This window comes from Homo sapiens, chromosome 12 (genome assembly GCF_000001405.40).
Source record: "Homo sapiens chromosome 12, GRCh38.p14 Primary Assembly".
NCBI lineage: Eukaryota > Metazoa > Chordata > Mammalia > Primates > Hominidae > Homo > Homo sapiens.
The window spans coordinates 71,899,792-71,920,005 of NC_000012.12; the positions used below are offsets into that span (position 1 = coordinate 71,899,792).

Below are 20,214 nucleotides of genomic sequence, written 5' to 3' on the forward strand. Positions count from 1 at the left end.
GAGGTAAAAAGAAGTAGGTGAGCCCGGCCATGGTGGCTCACACCTGTAATCCCAGTATTTGGGAGGCTGAGGTGGGAGGATCACTTGAGCCTATGGGGTTGAGGCCACAGTGAGCTGCGATTGTGCCACTACACTCCGGCCTGGGTGACAGAGCGAGACCCCTTCTCAAAACAAAACAAAACCAAAAAAAGTAGGTGGATTCAAGTTATATTTTGGTGATAGAGTTGATAAGACTTTCTGATATATGAAATATGGGGTGTGAAGGGGAAAGAGAAATAAAAAATAGGACTCAGTTTCTGACTAGAAAACGGGCAGTTAGTGATACCCCTTATGGAGATGAGAAATGGGGTATGGTGAAATTGAATTAAGTGTTAAGGTATATATACCTTAAGGTGAAATATACAAATGGAATGTCAAGTAGGTAGTTGAATAGTCTGGACTAGTCTGGCAGGAGATAGAAGTTTGGGTATTATCAGTATAAATATCCATGGAAACATGTGCCACCTAGTGGAAAAAGAGACAGTTAAGAAGGCTCAGGAATCCCAGTTTTTAAAGCAGTGGTTTTTAACTTTGGCAACACATTAACCCATTTATGCCTAGTGTTCCATTATTGGAACACTAAGCTTGTGGGAGTTATTTGTATCCTGCTGCTCAAGGTCATCTCCAAGGTCTGATTTTTCACACACAAAAATTCGCAACCTCTGGCATAAATGGGTTTAAATCACCAAGGGATATTTCTGAAAACCAAATTGATTATTTCAAGCATTCATACACTCATTCATTCTTTCAATAAGTTATTACTTAGTGCCTATTATGTACTAGGCTCTCCTCTAGGCATTAGGGATTCATCACTGCACAAAACAGGCAAAATTCTTGCCCTAAAGGAGTTTTCATTCCTGTGGAAGAACAGACAGTAAACAAGTTAAGTAAGTAACATATGTGGTATGTTAGTGATACATGCCAAATAGAAAAATAAGGCAAGGAAAAGGGTTAGGATGTTTGTGTGCAATGTTGCCATTTTAACTTGGGCAAGCAGAGACAGCTTTTAGTAGGAAAGTGATATTTGAATAGAAACTTGAAAAAGGGAGGGGGTTCTCTTACCACTCCTGTTCAGTGTAGTATTGGAAGCCCTAGCCAGAGCAATCAGGCAAGAGAAAGAAATAATGGGCATCCAGATGGGAAGAGAGGAAGAGCAACTGCTTGATATAAAGGGAAGAGAATATGGCATATGGATATTGCTGGGTTTTTTGTCTTTCAAGAGACAGATTCTTGCTTGTCACCCAGGCTGGAGTGCAGTGGCACAATCATAATTCACTGCAGCTGGGCTCAAAGGATACTCCAGCCTCAGCCTCCCAAGTAGCTGGGGCTGCATGCACGCACCATCACACCCGGCTAATTTTTAAATTTTTTTGTACAAATAGGGTCTCACTATGTTTCCCAGGCTGGTCTCCAACTCCTGGCCTCAAGCAATTCTCCCATCTCAGTGTTGCAAAGCATTGGGATTATAAATATGAGCCACTGTGCCCAGCCAATATTGCTGTTTTTTTTGTTTTTGTTTTTTACTAAGATGGGAAAAACTGTTAGAGAAGAAAGTCTGGAAGGGAATATTTAGAATTCAGTTTTAGACTTTAATTTTGAGATGCCTATATTGAATGTCTGTAAGTTAATATGTTGAGTTGAATGTGGATATATGGGGCTGGAATTCATGGGACTGGAGATAAATTTAGGGGTCATCAACATAGATAGTATGAGATTACATAAAACCATGAATTATGAAACTAGATTACCTCAAAAAGTAGGCATCAAAGGTACATAACCTCAAAATAATAAGAGCCATCTATCACAGACCCACAGCCAACATCATACCAAACAGGCAAAAGCTGGAAGCATTCCCCTTGAGAACCAGAACAAGACAAGGATACCCACTCTGACACTTTTATTCAGCATGGTACTATAATCAGGCAAGAGAAAGAAATAAAAGGCATCCAGATAGGAAGAGAGGAAGTCACCCTCTCTTCACAGGCAATATGACACTATACCTAGAAAACCCCATAGTCTCTGCCCAAAGGCTCCTAGATCTGATAAACAACTTCAGTAAAGTTTCAGTATACAAAATCGATGTGCAAAAATCAGTAGCATTGGTATACACCAACAACGTCCAAGCCGAGAGCCAAATGAAGGATGTGATCCCATTCACAGTAGGCACAAAAATAATAAAATACCTAGAAATACAGCTAACCAGGGAGGTGAAAGAACTCTGCAATGAGAATTACAAAACACTGCTGAAGGGAATCAGAGATAACACAAACAAATAGAAAAACATTCCATACCATGGATTGAAAGAATATTGTTTAAAATGGCCGTACTGCCCAAAGCTATTTATAGATTCAGTGCTATTCCTGTCAAACTACCAATGACATTTTTCACAGAATTAGAAAAAAATTCATATGCAACCAAAAAAGAGCCCAAATAGCCAAAGCAATCTTAATGCAAAATGAAGAAAGTTGGAGGCGTCATACTACCTGACTTCAAACTATACTGCAAGGGTATAGTAACTAAAACAGCATAGTCCTGGGACGAAAAACAGGCACATAAAGCAACGAAACATGTTAGAGAACCCAAAAATAAAGCCACACATCTACAGCCATCTGATCTTCGACAGAGCTGACAAAAACAAGCCACAGGGAAATGACTCCCTATTCAATAAATGTTCCTGGGATAACTGGCTAGCTATATGCAGAGGTATTAAACTGGACCCCTACCTTTCACCATATACAAAAATCAGTCAAGATGGATTAAAAACTTAAATGTAAAACCTGAAACTATAAAGACCCTAGAAGAAAATCTAGGAAATACCATTGAGGATATCGACCCAGGCAAAGACTTCATGAAGAAGACTCCAAAAGCAATTACAACCAAAACAGAAATTGACAAGTGGGACCTAATTAAAGAGCTTGTGTACAGCAAAAGAAACTATCAATCAACAGGGTAAACAGACAAGCTACAGAATGGGGAAAACATTTGCAAAGTATGCATCCTTCAAAGGTCTAATACCCAGAATCTGTAAGGAACTCAAATCAACAAGCAAAAACAACCCCATTAAAAAATGGGCAAAGGACATGAGCAGACTTTTTTTTTTGAGACGGAGTCTCGCTCTGTTGCCCAGGCTGGAGTGCAGCAGTGCAATCTCGGCTCACTGCAACCCCTGCCTCCCGGGTTCAAGCAATTCTCTGCGTCAGCCTCCCGGGTAGCTGGGATTACAGGTGCCCACCACCACGGCAGGCTAATTTTAGAATTTTTTTTTAGAAGAGACAGGATTTTACCATCTTGGCCAGGCTGGTCTTGAACTCGTGGCCTTGTGATTCACCTGCCTTGGCCTCCCAAAGTGCTGGCATTACAGGTGTGAGTTACCATGCCTGGCTGCAGACACGTCTTAAAAGAAGACATAAACACTGCCAACCAACATATGAAAAAGTGCTCAATATTACTAGTCATTATGGCAATACAATTCAAAACAACAATGAGATACCATCTCCTACTAGTCATGATGGCTGTTACTAAAAAGTCAAAAAATAACAGATGCTGGTGAGGTTTTAGAGAAAAGGGAATGCTTATACAGTGCTGGTGGGAAAGTAAATTAATTCAGCCACTGTGAAAAGCAGTCTAGAAATTTCCCAAAGAACTTAAAACAGAACTACCATTCGACCCAGCAATCCCATTACTGGATATATGTCCAAAGGGGTATAAATCGTTCTACCACAAAGGTAAATGCACATGTATGTTCATAGCAGCACTATTTGACAACAGAGAAGACATGAAATCAGCCTAGATGCCCATCAGTGGTGGACTGGATAAAGAAAATATACATATGCACCATAGAATGCTATGCAGCCATAATAAAGAGATCGTAGCCTTTGCAGCAACATAGATGGAACTGGAGGCCATACTCCTAAGTGAATTAATGCAGAAAACCAATACCACATGTTCTCACTACAAGTAGGAGATAAACATTAAGCACACGTGGACACAAAAAAGGAAACAGTAGACACTGGGGCTGTTTGAGAGTGAAGGGTGGTAGGAGGGTGAGGATTGAAAAACTACATATTGGGTGTTATGCTCATTACCTGAGCGGCAAAGCTATCTGTACACCAAACCCCCATGACACACCATTTACCTGTGTAACAAACTTGGCAATGTACCCCTTGAAACTAAAATACAACTTGGGAGGAAAAAAAATAGATTAAATTGCCAAGGGAGTAGTACAGTTACAAAAAAAGAACTGAGCCCTGGGGCACTTTAATTTACAAGTAGGAAAAATTAGAAGACAGCAGAAGAGACTAAGTAAAGAGCCACAGAGAAAGATTGAAAACATCAAAGTTTGATGTCCTAAAAGACAAGTGAAGAAAGTATTTCAAGAAGGGATAATTGGGATGCCAAGTAAGATTATTTAAATTGACCATTGCATAGAGGAATAAGGAGATCACTGGAGATTTTGATTAAAGAAGAATTTTGATGGATTGGTGCATGTGATAACCTGATTAGAGTGAATTGAAGAGAAAATAGAAGAAGACTTGGAGACAATACCTACAGCTCTTTCAAGGAGTTTTGCTGTAAACAGATGTAGAGAAAATGAGCTAGCAGAGGGAAAAGTAGGATTAAGAAAGGTTTTTAATGATGTTGAAAGAAATAATGTAAGGTTGAATACTATGGGAATGGTACAGTAGAAAGGAAAAACTGGTAAAACTGAAGAGGGAGGTAATTACTAGAGTAACTAGATAGAAATTACTAGAGTCCTTGGGTAGTCAATAGGGGATGGTTCTCATGCACAAGAGGAGGGGTTGGTCTTTGCCACAGAGTTATGGAAACTCATTTATAGTGTTAGGAGAGCAGGGAGACTATATAAATTCAAACATGGTTGTATGCTTAGAATAGTGGGAACCTGTGAAAGTTCTCTCATAGTTTCATTTTCTCAGAAATAGGAAGCAGAGTCCTTATCTGAGTTAGGATGTGGGAGAAGGTGGAGGCTTGAAGAGAAAGGAAGTATAAAATAATTGTATGAATGGGGAGTGAATGGACAAGGGAAATAGAGCAGGATTGCCAAACAGCATTCAGGACCCACTTGATGTTAGTGATGGTGAATATAAAATGGGGTCAGTCAACGTGGTTGTGTTTTTCTTCAGCCTTTTTTTAGCTACATCAGATTAGATGGAGAGTTGGATTTAATAAGAGGTTTTTGTTTTTAACTGAAGTACTCCTTTTCAGAAATGGGGTTTCTAGAAATAATTATAAAATAACATTTTTATATATTACTTTTTATCCCTTTTCTGTTTTTCACCTGGCTTGTCACTATTAAATATTTTTACAAGAAGAAATACTGATAGTTCATGAGAATACAAACAACTTTTTTTTACTATGTTTAAAATACGTATTAAGGCAGATATTCTGTATTGGCATTATGGTAATATAAATTATGCTTGAGTTAATAAAAATTAACTTATGAACTTTATCAACTGTGAAATGAGACAGAAGCAGTTTGACTTTTTTTTCTTTTTGAGTCGGGGTCTCACTGTGTCACCCAGGCTGGAGTACAGTGGTGCCATCACGGCTCACTGCAGCCTCAACTTCCTGGGCTCAGATGGTTCTCCAACCTCAGCCTCCTGAGTAACTGGTACCACAGGCAGGCGTCACCATGCCTGGGTAATTTTTGTATTTTTTGTAGAGACAGGGTTTTGCCATGTTGCCCAGGCTGGTCTTGAATTCTTGGGCTTAAGCAGTCCTCCTGTTTTGGCCTCCCAAAGTGCTGGGATTATAGGCATGAGCCACTGTACCTGGCCCATTTTGACATTTCTAATTGCAATTTTATATAAATAGCATGAGTTTTTTGGTATTACTTTTGCTTATTTGAGAACTGTATCCACAATTCTGTATGTATTTGCTTGCTTTTTAAAAATCAAATGTAGTACATTTTAACAGAAAGCTAAAATATTTGAATAATTTTTTAAATGCCCTTACAGAATCTAATTAAGCTCACATCATACCCTGTTGTTAGATTCTACTCTGTTGTATCTCCTTATCTTTTTTTTAATTATTACTATTTTTGAGACAGAGTCTCACTCTGTGACCCATGCTAGAGTGCAGTGGTGGGATCTTGGCTCACTGCAACCTTTGCCTCCCGGGTTCAAGCGATTTTCATGCCTCAGCCTTCTGAGTAGCTGAGATTACAGATGCACACCAGCATGCCCAGCTAATTTTTGTATTTTTGGTAGAGACAGGGTTTCGCCATGTTGGCCAAGCTGATCTTGAACTCCTGACCTCAGGTGATCCACCTGTCTCGGCATCCCAAAGTGCTGGGATTACAGGTGTGAGCCACCACACCTGACCTCCTCATCTCTTTGTAAAGAGTTTTGAGAAAGTTTTCAGGTTACTCAGTTTAATTGAGGGGAGGCAGTTATCACTTTTAAACAATTGATTCTACAGTAAATTAATCAAGAGTTTGTTTAAGTTACTTCTTCCTAATTTACTGAGAGATTCAAGTTTGGAGAATGCCTTGTGGTAAAGTCTCTCACATCGTGATGCACTTAGTAGGCATCAGTGTTTGTGAATTGAATTGTCGGTGCAACTTTGGACACATTGATGATGATGTTTCCAAATCTGTTTCTCATGAAGTCATTTCCAACTTATAATGACATCTAAAGTAAATGTTGTAGATATGAAAATAAGGAAATAATTTGTCCTAAAGATGATTGAGACATGACAAAGAATTTGATTATACTTCTTATAATAAATGCAGTAATTGTGAATGAAACAAATCTCTTTGATTATGCTTGATTAGGTGGTAGCTTTTTTTTTTTTTTATTAGTTTTCAAGTACTGGTATCTATGACATGCATTAATGACTGGCATTTTTGTTGCTAATGCAAATTATTACTTAGTGTTGCTTTTAATTCATTGAAAATGTTTTCCACTATGCAGTTAAAAGGTTTCTATGTTTAGATAATAATTGAAAAATATTTTAAAATCTGCCCATGAGGAGGACTGATTCTTGAAAAAATTCTGAAATGTTACTTTATTGCATATTTGAAATAGAATTTGATGAATTTTTTCTTCATTAAGTAAAGCTTGGTGAGTGAAATTAATAGCAAGAAAAATGACTCTGTACTTGTAAGATGTGAGCTTTATCACAATCTGTTTTTTGGAAGCTTTTCAAATATGTGATGATTTTCCTCTTCAGAAAAAGATGTTAACAGAACAGATCGAACAAACAAGTTTTATGAAGGCCAAGATAATCCAGGGTTGATTTTACTTCATGACATTTTGATGACCTACTGTATGTATGATTTTGATTTAGGTAAGTTCTCTAAAGTTCTAATTTTAAAAGATGTAAATATATTTACTTTAGAGTTTACATTTTTAATCCAGTTAGACATGGGTAATAGCTTTGTAGGCCTAGTTTTAAGAGAATTTGTTCTCCAGGGGACTGGAAACTTACAAGGCTATGGTTCTCAACCAAGGAGCCCTGGGTTGCTGCAGCAAACTAACAGGAGCACCATGGGATATTTAAAATTTTTAAGGGAATTATAAAGACATCTATAGGACACCACTCTAACTACTAGCTGAAATAGCTAAAGGTTTTAACATTAGATCATTACATTCTTTTTGATGAAGTTATATCTTTGCAAAGCTGGGTTTTTGGCCTTGCTGTGATAAGTACTGTGTAAAAATAAATGATGAAAATAAATGAGGATGGTGATAGCCAGTTGAATTTTAAGGTTTGAGAAGTATTGTAGTGCTCAGTAGGTGATAAGCACATAGGATATGAATACTTATTCAGTTGTTTTGACCTAACTGCTTAATAAATGGAGTTGTTATTTCTTTGAGACTTAGGAGTGCCTTGGGAAAAATTGCTGGGATACTAAGGATGATAACCATGAACTGAGAAAGTTTGCAAACCGTTGTTTGATATGCTTTTCCCGTTGTGAAGAAAAATACTGATTTGATATTTTAGACAAGCAGTGCAAAAATTTTGTAGGGCATGTAGAACTTACTCTTTTTTTGGTAAATCTCTTTACCAGAAATTTGTTGTAAGAACTGATGCCGGGGCTGGGTGCGGAGGCTCACGCCTGTAATCCCAGCACTTCAGGAAGTCAAGGCAGGTGGATCACCTGAGGACAGGAGTTCAAGACCAGCCTGGCCAACATGGTGAAACCCCATCTCTACTAAAAATACGAAAGTTAGATAGGCTGGGTGGCACACGCCTGTAATTCCAGCTACTCAGGAGGCTGAGTTAGGAGAATCGCTTGAACCTGGGAGGTGGAGGTTGCAGTGAAACGAGATCACGCCGCATTACACTCCAGCCTGGGTGACAGAGCGAGACTCTGTCTCAAGGAAAAAAAAGAACTGACGGTGGAAGTAGAAGTGTGAAATTACCTGGGGGAGGGACGCTAAGGGGTAGAAAACTTAAGGAACCATTATTTTAAGGGGCAAGAGAACTTAAGATATTTATTTAAAGAACCAACAGCTTGTCTAACCATCAACCTTTAAATAAGTATAAATACTAGAAATGTTTGACTTATCTGCTATGTGAGTGGCTTCTAGCTAAAGGATAGTGGAAATAATGTTTTCTAGATTAGTAACGCTTGAGACATCCTTTAGAGAAGGTGGTTGGATACTTAGCACATTAAAACTAAATGAACCTTGAATTATGGGCACATTTTCTTCACTGTTCATAAATATGTAAATTTCTCTTGGTTTCCCATATGTAAGTTAGGGGAAGATATAATCTCTGTTTTGATCTTGAGGTATCAGCCTCTTTGGTGACAGTAAGTCAAAAGTTGCAGAGTTTTCTTTAAAATTTAAAATGTAGTCAGTCCTGTCTATGAGAACCTATAATGAGCTTCAGATTGAATTGTTGCAAGAATATTAATAGAGTGCTTTTCAGGTTACAGAGTGCTTTCATACTTGATTTGATTTTTAATTCTCGTAGCAGCCTTTTGAAAAAGTGGGGAAATCTCACTTTATGAGTAAGGTTATTTTGATTCAGAGTGTGACTTATGGTCACACAAGTAAATAATTGGTCTGGGAGTAGAGACCCAGGTTTTTATTGCAGGCTGGAATTCTTACCTCTACACCTTCAGCGCTTCAAACTCTTGCCATTTATTTTAGTTTCTGTTACCACTGTAGGGAATAGGACCATTCTCCTTGGGAACAGAAGGCATTGCTCCATTCTCTCAGATGGTAATTTTGAGATAGAAATTCATATGTATTCTGTAGCAGGAGTTCCTGAATGCTTAATTTTCTTAGGACATTGTCCCAAACCAGCTAACTGGATAACTTACCATCTCCATTTGTTTATACTAATGTCACATTCTTTCTATATAGACATTTCAGTTACCTGAAACATAGTCAAGCTTCCTGTGGATAACTGGCCTTATAGAAGCCAAGATACTTTTTATAAAAGCAATAGACAACATTTCTTACTCTTTACTCATAGCAGAGCAACCTGGACTGTAAATTTACTCTGTCTTGTAGGTGATTTCATTATATGGAGTTTGGCTTCTTAACCCATAGGTGAGGTATAGGTGTATTTGCATTGAATACAGTCTCAGTAGGGAGGAGTGAGACAAAAATTATCAAAAGCAGACAAAAGAATTTAAGGAAGGGTGATTTCGAGTTAGTGAATGCGGATACTACAGAAAGTTTCTGTGGGTGGTATCATTGCAGGGTATGTAATGGTGATACTGAATAATCAATGAAAGGTTAAATTAGGAGAGTGTCTAATGTTTTTTAAGAATGATTTCTGATCCTCAAGATTTTTGTTTTTTAATTTGATACTCTAAAGGATAAGCTTCAGTAACCTGGAAAATTGAACTATATGTTGTTTAAATTTTTCTTTTTGGTGTAAGCAAGTGTACAGTAGGATGATAAGGTGTTCATTTCTCGCCTGCCCCCCACTGCCTACACTGAAACAAATTTGCTATGGAAGTAATTTTAGGGAAGTACTTTAGAAATTGTACTGGTGCTGATTAAGATATGCATCATTCAGTTGTACTGCAGACTCTGAGATCACTAAATGCCAATTTAAATATATTTAATCTTTCTTTAATTAAAAGGAATTTGTACATTAATTCCACCCCCTACAACCCATGACATACCCCAAAGAACATAATGTATAAAATAAAATAGCTTAGGGTTTTTATGGTTTTAGGTCTAATGTTTGTGTCTTTAATCCATCTTGAATTAATTTTTGTATAAGGTGTAAGGAAGGGATCCAGTTTCAGCTTTCTACATATGGCTAGCCAGTTTTCCCAGCACCATTTATTAAATAGGGAATCCTTTCCCCATTGCTTGTTTTTCTCAGGTTTGTCAAAGATCAGATAGTTGTAGATATGCGACGTTATTTCTGAGGGCTCTGTTCTGTTCCATTGATCTATATCTCTGTTTTGGTACCAGTACCATGCTGTTTTGGTTACTGTAGCCTTGTAGTATAGTTTGAAATCAGGTAGTGTGATGCCTCCAGCTTTGTTCTTTTGGCTTAGGATTGACTTGGCAATGCAGGCTCTTTTTTGGTTCCATATGAACTTTAAAGTAGTTTTTTCCAATTCTGTGAAGAAAGTCATTGGTAGCTTGATGGGGATGGCATTGAATCTATAAATTAACTTGGGCAGTATGACCATTTTCACGATATTGATTCTTCCTACCCATGAGCATGGAATGTTCTTCCATTTGTTTATATCCTCTTTTATTTCATTGAGCAGTGGTTTGTAGTTCTCCTTGAAGAGGTCCTTCACATCCCTTGTAAGTTGGATTCCTAAGTATTTTATTCTCTTTGAAGCAATTGTGAATGGGAGTTCACTCATGATTTGGCTCTCTGTTTGTCTGTTATTGGTGTATAAGAATGCTTACCATTCAGGACATAGGCATGGGCAAGGACTTCATGTCTAAAACACCAAAAGCAATGGCAACAAAAGCCAAAACTGACAAATGGGATCTAATTAAACTAAAGAGCTTCTGCACAGCAAAGGAAACTACCATCAGAGTGAACAGGTAACCTACAAAATGGGAGAAGGTTTTCACAACCTACTCATCTGACAAAGGGCTGATATCCAGAATCTACAATGAATTTGAACAAATTTACAAGAAAAAACAAACAACCCCATCAAAAAGTGGGCGAAGGACATGAACAGACACTTCTCAAAAGAAGACATTTATGCAGCCAAAAAACACACGAAAAAATGCTCACCATCACTGGCCATCAGAGAAATGCAAATCAAAACCACAGTGAGATACCATCTCACACCAGTTAGAATGGCAATCACTAAAAAGTCAGGAAACAACAGATGCTGGAGAGGATGTGGAGAAATAGGAACACTTTTACACTGTTGGTGGGACTGTAAACTAGTTCAACCATTGTGGAAGTCAGTGTGGCGATTCCTCAGGCATCTAGAACTAGAAATACCATTTGACCCAGCCATCCCATTACTGGGTATATACCCAAAGGACTATAAATCATGCTGCCATAAAGACACATGCACACGTATGTTTATTGTGGCACTATTCACAATAGCAAAGACTTGGAACCAATCCAAATGTCCAATAATGATAGACTGGATTAAGAAAATGTGGCACATATACACCATGGAATACTATGCAGCCATAAAAAATGATGAGTTCATGTCCTTTGTAGGGACATGGATGAAACTGGAAATCATCATTCTCAGTAAACTATCGCAAGGACAAAAAACCAAACACCGCATGTTCTCACTTATAGGTGGGAATTGAACAATGAGAACACATGGACACAGGAAGGGGAACATCACACTCTGGGGACTGTTGTGGGGTGGGGGGAGGGGGGAGGGATAGCATTAGGAGATATACCTAATGCTAAATGATGAATTAATGGGTGCAGCACACCAGCATGGCACATGTATACATATGTAACTAACCTGCACATTGTGCACATGTACCCTAAAACTTAAAGTATAATTTAAAAAAACTGTAAAAATAAAAAAAATAAAATAGATTAAAGGCAACCAGAACATGAAGATTAATTTGACAACTTGCTTCAGCTAAGACTTAACAGAAGAAATATGTAGTGATTCCATAAGAAAGCTGAAGACTTAAAGGATTAAATTGGCTTCTTAGGAATTTTTATTCATTATAACTTAATAATAAAGCACTTTTTAAGAGAGGAAGGGTGCTTTGTAAATCTTTTGAATAGCACACTTTGAAATATTTCTGATGTAGATCATACACAGTCAGGCTCAGTAACGTAGTACTCTTGCACTTTGTTGAATTCAGATTAGATTTCCTTCATGCTTTAATTGGTTTAGCCTTTATTTTTTGTCATTGATTTCACTGTGTCAGGTAGGAAAGTTCTGATGATAACAATTTAGTCTTCCATCTATCTTATTCTTTTTTTAAAAGTGTGCATTATTTTAGAAACCATCTGTGTAAATTTAGATACCTTGTTGTATGTCACTTTTGTCTAGCTTTTTTCTCTAAATGTCTTGGTAACTTCATTGTCTGGTACTGTAATAATTGGATGTCCTCCATGAGAACCCACGTGCCCTTTTATGCTAAATTGAGTAGAGCTATATTTTCCCACAGGGTGCAGTGTAGACAGAGTGAGGTTAACAGGACTGTGGAAAGATGTGGTGGTAAGATGATTGGACAGAGGCTCACAGCAAATTGAGCTGAAACTTTATTTGTAAGGAGATTCTGAGGTGATCTGAGTGCTTCTGTCTGTTGTGTGTTTGATCTGAGTTTTCTCAAGAGATTTAGTTTACCTGCTTTCTGAGATCATTTTTTAAAGTTTTCCTCCAAAACAGAGTAATGTGTAATTATGTATCATTTATATGATAGCAGAACTATCTCCTCCCTCTTTCATTAAATATTTACTTTTACATGGCTTCAGTGCAGATAGATTTTGGTGAATAAAAATGTAAACTTTGGATTCGCAAATGAAAGACTATTTTCCAGACTTCCCAAGCTACCAATAAAGAAATTTCTACATGATTTTAATAAATACACAAAAGTTACCGAAGTTGAATGATAACGTTTAAGTAAAAAGGCTTAGTATAAGTTCGTGTCCCTTCATTGGTTCAAGAACCTCTTAAGTCTGAAAATTTTTCAAGTCTTGAAAATTGTAAAACAAGGATAATTGAGGGTTTTATAAGAGGAAGTAAAAAAGAAGTTTGACATGTTCAGGTGAAAAAGTAAAACTAACACTTTTTCTTATTTTTAAGTGAGGGATCTGACTCCTTAATTTTCTAGTTTTTCTTTTAATCAAGGGCTCTATTACTGTCACCATTGAGAAATTGTAATAATATCAAGAGACATGTAGGTAAGTGGTCACTTTAGGTACAAAATATTGATTGGGTTAAGCCCAGTTGCTGGCATTGGTTGGGTGTAGAGAGTAACAAAAAAAGAAAGAAGGACGTAGATATGACTATTTAAAAGAGGCTCTTAATTTTGTAACTCCTGTTATGTGAATCTAAAGGTCTGATTGTTAAAGCAGTTGAACCCAAAGTTCTTGTTTTATGTGGCTTACTCATGGTAGTTTGGCATTGCTAACCACTCTGGGCTTGCAACTTTCTTGTTAATTTTTGCAACATTATTCTCGCTTGATTTTTTTCTTTACTTCTCTGACTGGTCTTTCTTAAACCTGTCTTTGAGTGTATACTCTTACATTTGATGTTCCTCTGGATTATCTCTTCACCCCTCTTCTTTCTCATGATGCTCTTGCACATTATTTTTAAAAATATTACCCACTCTTGATAGTGTATCTGCACTGAGACACGTACTGGAAGCTATATATTGTTTGACATCTCAATCTAAAACAACTCATCTTTCTTACTTATGACTAGAGTTCCTCCTCTTCATTTATATTCTTTTCTTGGTGAACATCAGTGTCTACCAATTTCTAAATGCAAAGGAGAAAGATACAATTTTAAGCGAAATGGTGGTGATATGCACAACTTGCAGAAGGTTACATAAAACTTGGGTTTTCAGAGATGATTTTTTCTTTTCTTTTTAGGATATGTTCAAGGAATGAGTGATTTACTTTCCCCTCTTTTATATGTGATGGAAAATGAAGTGGATGCCTTTTGGTGCTTTGCCTCTTACATGGACCAAATGGTAAGAACAGAGATTCCTTCCATTAAACTGATTTTTAAAATTTTAGTTGTATAATTTTATAGTATAAGGTTGATTTTTATATTTAGCCAACTATGATGGAACTTAAAAAAATTACCTCATGCCTTTTGTTACTTTTTCTTTTTAGTAGCCTTTCAAGGGCTTAGAAATACTGGTGGTATTTTTAATACAGGAAATAGTTTGTGCCTGTAGTATAGGAATAATCAGGATTTAATATCAGTAAATGCTTATTTTCTACTAAAGAGCCATGTGTCATTACAGAATATTGATAAAATAGATGAATTCAATTTTGTGGAATAGTTGAACTTTAATATCATCTGTTTCAGAGATAAAGCTTAGTCATGCCAAGTAATATCCTTACCTTTTGTGAAGATTTTGAATTTTGTCATTATAGTAACTGATTTTTCTCCAGATGTGTTTGAACTATTTGTAACTCTGACACTTTCTTAGGAATTCATTGTTATTTTCCCAGAAGTATGTGATTATTAGAATTGAACTGTCTATATATACATGTTAGTACAAAGAACATTTTATCTATTATCATTGTTAAATCTTTGAGACAGAGTTCTAGGATAATAGTGCAGAGAATATTGACAGGAAAATAAAAGAAAAGTCTCTTCAAGCAATCTCAGAAAAATAAAAGCAGAAGGGGTGAGACTAGATAAAGGCAGATGAAGTCCAAAGACCTGACTACATAGAGGTTGCTGTGTTTTTTCAAAATAACACTAACATACTGGATGCTGGGCCTTTATGTTGGATATTGAAATGGCTGGCTTGCTTGCAAGGGATAAACATTTTGAATCTAACCATCTGAAATATTTTCCTGTAATACAGGGTTTAACTCAGAGTTTCTGGGATACAAATGTGAAATTTGGAAGTGGTACCCTTCTCCTTTTTTCTTTACTTCTATTCTTTCCCTTTTGCTTGCCTATTTTTCTTTCTCCTTCAAATTTTCCCTGCTTGTGGCTATTTCCCCAAATCTCTTGTCCATAGATTCAACTTGTTTTTGCTTCTTTCAGTTTTTTTCTAAATGTATACTTGGTAAGATTTGATAGATTTAAAATGTTCTTTTACATTAAATTCATGAATATTCAAATTGGTTTTTTGCCATAAATTAATTTTTTTTGACTATTTGGAAGGATTATCAATGCAGTAATTTGGTAATGTCATAGTTTGTCTTCCTTCCTTTTTTGATTGATTTGTCTACCTTCTTAGTTCCATTTACTCCCAAGTGCTCTAGAAACCTGAGGCATTTGTTATAAAGGTCTGTACAGCTGATACTAATTACATAAAAACTGTTGTCTGCCTTCCTTGTGTTTTTGTTGTTTATCCTCTTTTCACCAGAGCTAGTATGTTCCTTGATAAAAGGGATTATATCTTGTTTCACTGGTAGCATACCAGAATTTTCCTAATGCCTGACATGAGGTTGTTCAACGGGTTTTTGTAGAATAAACATGTGAATCTTTCCCCAGTGATTAGTTTAAATTGCTATAGTAGATATTCTAAAAAAAAAAAAAAAAACACAACTAAGATGAACATACTGCATTTAGTATCATGCAATAAGTTTTCAATAAAACTAATCCAATATTGGCATGTAAATATATATTGACATATAATGCCACATACACACATGCATACAGACGTGTGTATATAGGTCTCATATGTAAAGACTACCTTCTGAACATGTGTAATAAACACTTTACAGTCCGTCATTTTTTGTGTATGAAGGTTCAGTTTCTTTGTTCTGTCATTTTCACAGTAAATGCTCTCTGTGTTTGCCTTTTCCATTAAGGATGTTCTGGGGATTTTTCTAGTCTTTATTCTAAAAAAGATATCTTATGATTATGTTGTCTGCTAACATCTTTTCTTTCATAATATTTGAATGAGAGGGAAATATATGGCAATCAAAATAACCTGTATGATTGTTTTTCACTGCATTGCCCTTGTTTGATGTCCCTAAATCTGTGCTGCTGTTTCTTGATTCTGTGTTTCTGTTTTATAGCTTTACTTCATGTAAGTTTGTACTACCTTTGTGGTGGCTGAACCTAACGTCTGTAAATTTACTTTTGTTGATGTTTACTTGCATCTAATGTAGGTCTAGGCATAGACTTTGTCTATTATCATGGAAATACAAAGTACAAGTGATCTGATGAACTTTGTTATACCCATCATCCATTTTGCCATATAGTTTTAATTCCTTTCTCCTCTCCATCTCCCCCTCCCCTGCCCCATACAGACACATTTATTTACAGACACATTTGAAGCCCTTTGTATATCCATTGTTGATCCCACTCTCCCTTCTCCAGGAGTAACCACTTTTTCGAATATGGTGTCTGTCATTATGGACATGTTTCTTTTTTACAGCAGAGTGGGTAGCAAATGTCTATGCCATGTTGGTATTCCCAGATCAGCTCTAGTCTTTGACTGTGTCACAGCAAAAATGATCCTGTTAATCAGAGTTGATTCTGCCCCTTCTCTATAGATCTCTCTGGTAAATGTGGAGGAACTATATCCTAAAGCCTTGAGTTAGTCTATTAATAAACTGGTTTTTAAAATTCATTAAAGAGAAACAGCTTATTGAGAATTAATAGACTTAAATTTTTTTTAAGAATGAATTGTTTCTAATATGATAGTTCTAATAAAGCACTATTGTACTGTAAAAGTGAAAAAGTAAGTGTGAAGGAGGAAATGTTTTTCTAAGGCTTTCACTAGGGTTAGGGCGGTAGGTTACCACAGAGGGATCGGGACATATGAGTTAAAGGGATCCAAATCATTTAAGAAGCCTTTCAGAGCATCAGTTTTGGTGCCTTCTGGCCCCTTGACTCAGGTGTTGGTAGGGAGTCTACTCAACTATGAAGTTTCTTTAAAGCATATGAACCCCAGCAGTTCCCAAACTTTGTGACCTCAGGGCCCCTTCACACTCTCCAATATTATTGAAGACCTGAAAGAGTTTTTGTTTATGTGGGTTATATCTGTTGATGTTTATGTGAAAAATTAATACTGAGAAACTTGTATTCATTTATTTATTAATTCATTAAATAACAACACATTCTACCTTAACATAGATCACTTTTTTTTAATGAAAAGTAACCTTTCCTAATGAAAAATTTACCGACACAAGAGATTGTTTTAAATTTTTCATTTTTAAAAATGTCTGGTTTAATAGAAGACAGCTGAATTTTCATATTTGCTTCTGTGTTCAGTCTTTTGGAGTATCACACATCATACAGCCTTTGCACTTGTGAAAGAATTTAAGTATGAAATCCAGATAATGTTTTAGTATTGTCCTGAAAATGGTTTTGGCTTTACAGATTCTCCAATGTAAAGTAATTCTTTAAAATGAAATACATACTAAAACTAAAATTAATTTTATTATGTATAATTTGAAGGAATATTTAACAATGGAAAGAATTTGATAAATATTTATTTCCCAAATGTGTGTTTCTTTCACCAAGTCTTTTATGCTGTGTAAGAAATAAATAGTCAGTCTGCAGTTGCTATGTCTGCATTCTTCTTTATCTAAGTCAAATGAATAGAGGAAAAAATAATCCTTAGTTTTGAGAGCAAGGATTCTTTCTCTTTACCCTCCCTTTTAGTGTTACGTTAGATTTTTGGTTAGTTACGCATTTTTTAAGATTACCAGTGTGGTATAAGTTCAGCATTTGTCCTTAGACATCATGTTTTAGTTATCAGTCATTATGTACTATAAAATATTTATTAAATATTACTTGTAACAATTATTTCCTTTTAAAGCATCAGAATTTTGAAGAACAAATGCAAGGCATGAAGACCCAGCTAATTCAGCTGAGTACCTTACTTCGATTGTTAGACAGTGGATTTTGCAGTTACTTAGGTAAGTTTAGTGAATCAGAACTATACCCAGCAAATTGTAGAGTAATGCATAGAAAAAAATGTAAAGAACTCTTTAAAGAAGCCAGGTGCAGTGGCTCATGCCTATAATCCCAGCACTTTGGAAGCCAAGGAGGGAGGATTACTTGCACCCAGGAGTTTGAGACTAGCCTGGCTAGCACAGTGAGACCCCATCTCTACAAGGAAAAAAAAATGCTGGCTGTGGTGATGCATGCCTGTAGTCCCAGCCACTCAAGAGGCTGAGGTGGGAGGATTACTTGAGCCGAGGAGGTTGAGGCTACAGTGAACTGGGATCACTCCACTGCACTCCGACCTGGGTGACATAGCAAGACACTGTCTCAATAAAAAAGAACTTAAAGACATATATACTCTATTGCACTTTCTTCGGTTCCATAAAAATGTGGAACCAAACTCTCTTTGTATAATTCTGCCTTAAACTTGATTCGTAAAATGTATTATTTGTTAGTTTTTAAAAAGAAGTCAGCCTTCAAGTTTGAAATGATTCCTTAACGTAGAAGACAAATGTATAGGGCCTTGAATTGCCTAAGATGCATAGGAAAGTTAGAGAAAAGTAACTGTATTCTGACATAATTAGCATAAGAGTAAGTCATATGTGTGTTTTTTTCTTCTGCATAGAATCTCAGGACTCTGGATACCTTTATTTTTGCTTCAGGTGGCTTTTAATCAGATTCAAAAGGGAATTTAGTTTTCTAGATATTCTTCGATTATGGGAGGTAAGTCCTTAAATTATTATGCAAATGTGATATTTATTATGAAAAGAAACAATTTATTCTGTAGAGTGTAAATGAATTATGATAGCCTTACTGAAATATCTAAGGCAAGTATGTTCCAAAATTCTGATGAACTGGTAGCCTCTTCTTAAAAATTAGTTTCACACTGAATATTTGGTCTTTTGGAGCTTCGTTCTTCAAATCACAATCTCTGTGAGATTTGGGGCCAAGAGGTATCCCAGAACAAGTGCTCTAGACCATTTGCTGCCTTTGTTCTTCCTTTGTGAGACTTGACTTTATGTGAGGCTTTGCCACATCTGTTATAGAGGATATTCTTATGTTTTTGGTGTACTCCTTTTGTTCCATTTTTTACCCAAGGCAACTCTTTATTTTTTCAACTTTTATTTTAGGTTCAGGGAGTACATGTGCAGGTTTGTTACATAGGTAAATTGCATGTTGCTGAGGTTTGGTGTGTGAATGATTCCATCACCCAGGTAGTGAGCATAGTACCCAATAGGTAATTTTACATCCCATGTTTCCCTTACACCATCCCCCCATGTGTAATCCCCAGTGTTTATTTTTCCATGGCAACCTTTAATGAAAAACCAAATCATTTCACATTTTCTAAAGTATTTGCTAATAATAAATCAGTGTGCTTTTTTTTTTTTTTTTTTTAAAGAGAAGGGGTCTTGCTATGTTACCTAGACTGATCTCGAACTCCTGGACTCAAGTAATCCTCTTGCCTCAGCTTTATAAGTAGCTGGGACTACAGGTCTACAGGTGTATGCCACTGTGTCCAGCCCAGTGTGCTTGTTCATAGAATGCTGGTATAATGATTGATCATACCTTAGGATAACAGAAATTCTTCCAAGGAAAGAATTGGGAGATAATCCATTTTGATTGTAAATCCAACTTTATACAGTGGAACTCTAGTGGTCTCTGAGGTTTTTACAGCTGGAAATGGATTCCTATACTATTGATGGCTGTGCTACCATTAGACAAGGCATTGTGCTGATTACAAGTTAAAAGTGGATTACTTTATGCTCACTTCCTCTGTTCTCAGATTAGAAGTAAAACCCACATGGTCTCTATCTGGAATCGTACTTAAATGTTTATCAGTTTTGTTAAATTAGTGTCTTAATTTGGGGGTTAAAAATGGGTTAATGTATTTATGCCTAGTGTTCCATTATTGGAACGCTAAGCATGTGGGAGTTGTTTATATCCTACTGCTCAAGGTCATCACCAAGGTCTGATTGAAAAATTCAAAAAATTGCATCCTCAGGCATAAATGGGTTTTAAAGGATGAATTAAGAATATTATTACCACATAGCTAGAATAACTCCTCAATCTGTGTTTACTAAATAAATTCAAACTTTTAATGAAACCTTTGAGGTTAATTGCATTGTAATTAAACTTTCAACAATTGGGTTTAGTTTGAAAATTATTCAACTTGATTTACT

The 20,214-nt window shown here is 36.3% G+C and overlaps 1 protein-coding gene across 44 annotated transcripts in view, besides 1 other annotated feature; it reads left to right on the forward strand.

The window, feature by feature from the left end:
• TBC1D15 (TBC1 domain family member 15) overlaps window positions 1-20,214 on the forward strand; it is an 84,555-nt gene that overhangs the window by 60,033 nt on the left and 4,308 nt on the right. For 30 of the 44 annotated variants that reach the window (NR_169783.1, NR_169765.1, NR_169767.1 and 27 more), the window contains 4 exons: window positions 7,231-7,347; window positions 14,035-14,135; window positions 17,907-18,006; window positions 18,660-18,757. Coding sequence is in view for 18 of the 44 variants with exons in the window: in XM_011538679.1 (XP_011536981.1) it covers window positions 7,231-7,347; window positions 14,035-14,135; window positions 17,907-18,006; window positions 18,660-18,757 (416 nt within the window). In the remaining 26 variants the exon portion in view is untranslated. Of the gene's footprint in view, window positions 1-7,230; window positions 7,348-8,071; window positions 12,029-13,288; window positions 13,342-14,034; window positions 14,136-17,906; window positions 18,007-18,659; window positions 18,758-20,214 lie in introns of those variants that run through there. The other 14 variants (NR_169779.1, NR_169780.1, NR_169787.1 and 11 more) reach the window with 10 other exon arrangements.
• Window positions 298-592: a silencer, noted in NCBI's record as "tiled region #15327; HepG2 Repressive non-DNase unmatched - State 13:Ctcf". NCBI's record gives its function as "represses a minimal TATA promoter and a strong SV40 promoter by Sharpr-MPRA in HepG2 cells {active_cell/tissue: HepG2}" and the evidence as "EXISTENCE:reporter gene assay evidence [ECO:0000049][PMID:27701403]".